Source organism: Homo sapiens, chromosome 9 (genome assembly GCF_000001405.40).
Source record: "Homo sapiens chromosome 9, GRCh38.p14 Primary Assembly".
Classification (NCBI taxonomy): domain Eukaryota; kingdom Metazoa; phylum Chordata; class Mammalia; order Primates; family Hominidae; genus Homo; species Homo sapiens.
The window spans coordinates 99,574,479-99,581,577 of NC_000009.12; the positions used below are offsets into that span (position 1 = coordinate 99,574,479).

The 7,099-nt window shown below is 43.0% G+C and overlaps 1 long non-coding RNA gene across 1 annotated transcript; it reads right to left on the reverse strand.

The window, feature by feature from the left end:
• Window positions 1-334: 334 nt before the first annotated feature.
• On the reverse strand, window positions 335-3,304 carry LOC107987012 (uncharacterized). Its single transcript, XR_001746549.1, has 2 exons — window positions 2,238-3,304; window positions 335-1,522 (listed from the first exon to the last, which is right to left on the reverse strand). It is a non-coding gene; the product is annotated as an uncharacterized LOC107987012 (long non-coding RNA).
• Window positions 3,305-7,099: the final 3,795 nt, after the last annotated feature.

Genomic DNA, 7,099 nt, shown 5'->3' on the forward strand with positions numbered 1-7,099 from the left:
CCTCAGATGCTCTGAATTCTGGGTCTCATCTGCCTCTTCTAATAGCCCTGAGCACTTTGGGCTTTATTTACATTATAGTGATGTGAATTCATATAGATATTTCTACAACCCCCATGAGCACTTTGATTTACCTGTGTATTCCTTACAGTGCCAGACACAGAGTGGATGCTCAATAATATTTATTGAGTCCATAGCAAACCCACTCATTAAGGCTTTCTATTTACCAAAGGTACTTCACCACCCCCCGCCCCCCCCAAATAATTTCAGTGCTTTATAGTAGAGGTCAGAAAGCTATGGCCCATCACCTGTTTTTATAAATAAAGCTTGACTTGAACACAGCCATGCGTTTTCATTTATTCAGCATACATCTCTGATTTTGTACTACAATGGCAGAGTTGAACAGTCATGATGGAGACCTTACATGATAGGGTGCAAAGCCAGAAATATTCACTCTCTGGCTTTGCAAAAATTTTGGTCAACTCTATTTTATAGCACAGAAGTATAGGTTTCTTTATCTGCAATGCAGGGATAATAACGAACATCACAGAGCTGTTGGGAAGATCATAAACGGTAACAGACGTAAAGTTTTTCTGTACATGGCATATACTCTTCCTGCCACATGGGGTCAAATTGAGGCTTGAAATCTCAAGTGATGATGGGTAAGTGTGAAGGTGGCCTATCCCACCAAAGCTGCTACCTGGTAAGCATACAGTGTTGCACAAACACGTAACTGAAATATCTGCCAACAATGAACCAAACTCCAGCCTGCCCTCCAGAATAGACTCTCCCCATATGGCATTAATCAGATGGGGCTATGGCTGCTGGAGAGAATAAAATAAGCCCCTGAATGTTTTTGTTCCTTATTTATGATAAATGCTTTTAGAAGTCACTTAATTAGTGCCATTGGCAGATTTGCATAACTGCTGGTTATGGTAGATAAGAATGATTTTTTACTTGATTTGACAGAGCTAACATGCAAACCCCAAAATATTTTCAATGAGCCTCCTAGCTAGTTATCAACATGAATCTTATACTTCCTAAGGTGGGCTTCTGAGTCTCGAGGAAGTGACATGTTTTAAGACTCGGGGGAAGTGTGGGTAATGGGATAAGCAGGCTTGGGCACAGCCCTGGGTTTATATGGAAGAAGGAGACATTTCATTGCAACTGAGCTGGAAGAGGTATTCATCAAGAAGAGAGAGATGGGCTGGAATTTGAAGACCGTGCTACTTCTGGCTGGGATGGTGGGAGGTGAGCTGTTCAGGATCCATCTCACACCAAGTCTCTTCGTTTTGAACATAATGTGCTGCTGCCTTTGTCCAGCTGAGAGATTTCATCCATCTTAATGAGATATAAAGCCTTCTCCCAGAAAGGGGAAGTTGTGCTCCAAGCTCCTGAGCAAGTGAACATGGGCCTGACCCCAGGATCCCATACCCACTCAGATACCCTCTCCACCACCTCATGCTGCAGGGGCACCTCAAGTTACTGAGCATCAGACCCCTTCACGGCCACCATCAAACTGAACCTGGAAAGGAGGCAGAGAGGGTCATTAATACTCTTGATTGTGCAGAGTAAGAATCTGAGGCCCAGAAAACTGCATATGGACCCCACCTGTGGCATACACAGATGGGAACTCTGATCCCAGCCCTGCAGTCTTCTCCACCATGCTGCCCCTAGCGGAGATGGCCTCCTGGTTCCTTGTTGCTGACTGCAGAACTCTGGGCTGGCCCTTCTGATCCTACTGCCAGCCACGTGGCTGGAGCTCTGCTCAGACCAGACTGTCCATCTAAGATTCCCCACCAGCTGCCTGATCCACGTTGCACTGACACCCAGGGCTTTCTAGGGCTGGGACTAGGGTGAAGCGAGTGAGCCATCAGGGTACAAAACTCAAGGAGGTGCTCACACTCAGGGTTGTGCAAATGCCATCGCTTTCTTGTGAAGATTAAAGTAAAGTACTGCATATAAAGTGCTTAGGTGCTGTAAAAGTATCTGATATTGTTTTTAGTAATAGTTGCACTAGTAATAGCAGTACTGAGAGGAGCTCTGTTTTTTCTTCTACGTGGAGATTAAATTAACTTTTTCGGTGAATAAGCTAAGAAATTTGTAGTTACATGAATGTGAGCTATTGTTCCAGAAGAATTTGCATGTCTTTAAGGGCTCAAATGTTCCTAATGAGGACTGTTAGTTTTGTACCATTTCATGGCCCAAGTGACCCTGTGATCCCGCCCTGCCTTTCTTACATGCTAAGAAGTTTGGATTCCACACTGGCACTAACAGGAGTCACTGACGGATTTTAAGCTGGAAGTGATACAGCAAATCTGTGCTTATGAAGATCCCTCTGGCAATGTGATCTCGAACCAGGCAGGGCCAGAACCAAAGGCAAGGAGGCCAGTTGGAGGCAGGTGAACCGTCCTGGCAGGAAACAATGAGGCCTGAATTAGGGTAGTGGTAGTAGGGACGAGAAAGGGCCAGGCAAGAGACTATGGATGAGGAAGTAAAATCTGTTCTTCACTCCTGGAAAAACAACTGTGAATCAGTGATACCATCTTTATCCCCAAAGGCAAACAGATCCTTCATTAGTGCTAGCAATTGAGAGCTGTGTGAGGTTTGGTACCCACTAGCTGCTAAACATGCATATAAAAGGAAGCACACCATATGCTAAGATGAGTTAATGCCAATTGGCCCCACTCAGATATATACTGCTTTAATTTTAACACTTCATTTGAACAAAAGTCTACTTCTAATGAAGCTAAGGATTCCCAAAGAGTTTCTTCCTGCTGGCCAATTTGACTCGATTTCTTTCCTTGGTGATGAAATGCCTCTTTCGATAGGTATGACCAGGATTCAGATGTCAATGAAATAAGATAAACAACGTCATGGACATATGAAATTAGATGCCTTGGAAGATAGTGAGTTCCTTGTCACTGAAGGCATGCAAGAAAAAGCTAGACAGCCACTTGATGGAGTTGTTGCAGCGAATATTCAAACATCAGAAGGTGAGTGGGATAGGGATGTTGGGCTTGATGACCTTTAAGAGCTTCCAAAACCATGAAATTCTAAGAGGTTGAATCAGAAATGTAGTTCTTGGTTGATCAGGGGAACCCCATAATTACAGCAGATCAGAATGAGGATCTAAGATTTTTCAAGCAAATCCAGAAGTTATAACTACCTCAGGGAAAAAATCTGGATAACCCATCAGCCAAGATGGCTCAAGGACAGGAGAATGGAGATCATCAGAAGAAAAGTTCTGGCCGGGCTCAGTGGCTCAAGCTTGTAATCCCAGCACTTTGGGAGGCCAAGGTGGATGGATCCCTTGAGCACGGGAGTTCAAGACCAACCTGGGCAACATGGAAAAACTCTGTCTCTACAAAAAATACAAAAAATTAGCCAGGTGTGGTGGAATGCACCTGTAGTCCCAGCTACTAGGGAGGCTGACGAGGAGGATCGCTTGAGCCCAGGAGGCAGAGGTTGCAGTGAGCTGAGATCACGCCACTGCACTCCAGCCTGGGTGACAGAGCAAAACCTTGTCTCAAAAGAAAAGAAGAACAGCTTTGCTTTCAACATCATTTTGATGACCCTCGCACAAATGAGAAACTTTTTAGGGAAAAGAACTAGGAAAACACTTTGATTTTCTCTTCTATACAACTGACGTGTGTCTCTTTTCACTCTGGCCATCAGAAAGCTCAGAACTTAACTTGCACATGGAAATAACAATCCTGCAGACCCTTGGGTTCTGTTTGTCATCAGTGCCCTCTCCTGTCCCACCTCACCAGCCTTCTGGCCTCTTATTTTAATGTATATATTTTCTAGTCCTAATTTTGTTTTTAATCTATAGTTTATGTAATATGTATGTTTCCTATAAGCTACCTGAACTGTTCTGAGAAACGAGGAGGAAAAAAACAAGAAAATAAATAATAAACCACCATCAAGGAAATGAATTATTGGCTTTATGTGGTAACCTGTGAGGAAATTATCAGGGGCGCATTAGACTGAGAGCCATAGACTCGAGTAGTCAGCACTCCTCTGCCATAATGGAACTCCTCTCCACCCCTGGACTTAGTCTCCTCTTCCACAAAATAATGTCTGGAGTCCCGGCCTAGATTGAGCTTTGGCTCTCGAGATCTCCTTGCCTCTGGTTGTTCTGCTCAAGTTCCCAAGTACATCTCCAGATACTGCCGCTCTACCAAGTTCAGGCCTCTCCTGGACTTTAAGTTCTCCTACCTATAGATGACATCCTTGATTTTATATAAATATATTTTTAAACAATATGCTTCTATATACTTACTGTGTTTCTTGTACTGTTCCGAATACTTCCCTGTAGTAATTCATGTAAACCTCATAATAATCTTATGAGAGAGATACTATTATTATGCCCATTTTACAGATGTGAAAACTGAGGCCTTTAGAGGTTAAGTAAATCACTAGTAAATGACAGAACCAGATTCAAAATCTAGGCAACCAGGCTCTAGTTCATGCTCTTAACTATATGTTCCCTCAAATCTAACCATGACTTTGACTCAGCTCCCAGACCTTACTTGGATTATTCACTCTTCTGTATTATTGCCTTCCTGTAATCCAATTAAACAAAGACTTTCCTGAGTGCTACTTGGGGTCAAACTCTGTGCTGGGACAGGAACCAGGCATGCATCCACATTATCCCACCTATTATATTAGGATCTCTCTATCTGGGGACAGGAGTCAAACACGTACCCCATTCGCTAGTATCCAGAGGGAAATTAAATACATGCTGTGTGAAAGTTCAAGCAATGGGCTATGCCAATGGGACTTTCATTGACAGAGATGGAAATACAAAGGGATGGGAAGAGCATTGCAGGCAGGTAGAAAGATCTGAGACAAGCCCAGAGGCATGATAGTGCACGGAGTATTCAGGAAGGATATGAGGTTTTGAAAATGGTGACGTGGCTACATGGCATCACAGGGTATGACTCCTGGCTTTATCTTTGAACTGGTCTTATATCAACCTTTCCATTCAACTGTTAGTAAATACATATTTGTTGAGTGCCTATTAGGGGCCAGGCACTGTTTTGAGTGCTAGGGATACAGCAGTCAACAAGATACCCTCATTCATGACCCTTCCAAGGTAACAGAAGGCTACATGTAGTTCATCAAATAAAATAAAAATATGTCAGGTGGTGGTAAGTGCAATGAAGGACAACATACAGAGTAATGGGACAGAGAGTGGGGGGAAGGTTGCTTTTGTAGGTAGAGCTATCAGAGAAGGCTCTTTGATGAGGTAATCTTTTAGCACATATCTGAATGGAATGGCGGGTGAGCTATGAAGATATCTGGTATGAAGCTGTCATAGGCAGAGAGAGAAAAATATAGATGCCTGGAAAATGAACGATGTTTCTCACTTTTGAGGAATAGCAAACGAGGCTGGCGAAAAGGTGGTGAGGAAATGAGATCCAACCTGTTGTAGGGCTCTGGGCCATGTGGGGTCCTGTTCATTGAGTAAGAACTTTGGAGTGTGCTCTCAATGCAGTAGGAAGCCGCTGGAAGGCTGTTGGTGAACCAAGCATTACAGCCACGTGAGCGATTCTAAATCTCCTGGGAAATCTAAGTTCTGTCCTACTGCAGGGCTTTTACCCATGCTGTGCCCTCTGCCAAGAATGTCTTTCCCCCACTCTTTACTGGGCCATTGCCTACTCCCCTTAGGGAAGTGTCTTTACTTCCCTTTTGTAGCACTTACCAAAAGGAACATTACACAATCATATGCATAACTTTCATTTCTCACTGTTTCTTCCACTAGATAGGGAGCTCCGTGAGGTAAGACAGTGTGGCTGTCCTCTTTATGCCTGTATCTTCAGTATCCAGTACAGGGTCTGATTTTTAAGAGGTGCTCAATAAATATTTATCAAATTAATGTGAAAATAAATGAAAGATAAAGATGAAAAGTCAAGTTGGAGCCTCTAACCCTGCAGTAGAGAAGCAACTCTGGCCTGCAGATCATAGAATGGCCACATGGAAAGCATATTAAGGGTGCAGTTCAGGGTACGATTCTGCCCAGCCCCTAATAACCATGGGCAAGAGAAATGGAAAGGAATTGAGACTGGAGGCAGAAAGAATAGAAAGCAATGTTTAAAGCTGTTTGATAGACTTCCTTTCCTGTGCAAAATTTTCATATTTGGGAGAAATGTATGTGTTATAGAGGATTTCATGAATTTAGGGATTTACCAAGGTCTGAGTAATGCTGCAGTGTATGGTGATAACAGTCAATGATTGCTAGTAGTATGATCAAACAACAACAAGAAGTACCAAGTAGCAGAGATTATACTATACAAGAGTCAGGAGATCTGAGTTTGTTCATCCATTTATTAATTTATTCAATCATTATTCATGCAACAAAATTGATTACTGACCACATGGTAGGGGCCAGGCCCTATGATAGGCACTGGATTTAGGTTCTGTTTGTTACCTACTAAGCATGCAAACTTGGGCAAGGCATTTAACATCTCTGTACAAGGAGGAAAAGAATCATTTATAAGGGAGTGGTCTTCCCCATTAAAGGAAAAGACAAAGCCCTCCATACTTTGTTCAGAGATCTGGGTTTCCAGATGGAGAGGTATGATGAGTAAAAGGCCTAAATTCTGTCTCCTTGAGTTTCCTTTTCCTCATAGAGTTCTAACTTGGATTCCTCTGGCACACCCAAAGAGTCTGGAATGGTTTCTATCATCTCCTTCGTGGCCTAGTAAAATCCCTACTTGTCCCCCAGGGCCCACATTAAATGTCTGAGCTCTTGAAACCTTCATTGGCTCTCTATTCCCTTAGCAAAATAAATCCCTCCCATCTGCCCCACTTTGAATGCTCAGCTCATCAATTTGTTGTGCAGCTGACTTCTCCATGTGATTGGAAGGTGGGTTCTTCTGAGAAGCATGTTTTCTTCCCTCTGTCTCTCCAGCCTTTGGCTAAGTGTCTGGCCCAGAATATATTGTCTGTAGTTAAATGGATAAAAAGTCACCAGTCCAGCAGAATAGCTGATAAGTGACACAATGGTGGAAGGAAGTCTGAACAGACTTACTATGACTCAGAAAAAGACACCTCTCAACTAAGCTAGCTAAGAATATCAGTAACTACTCACTGA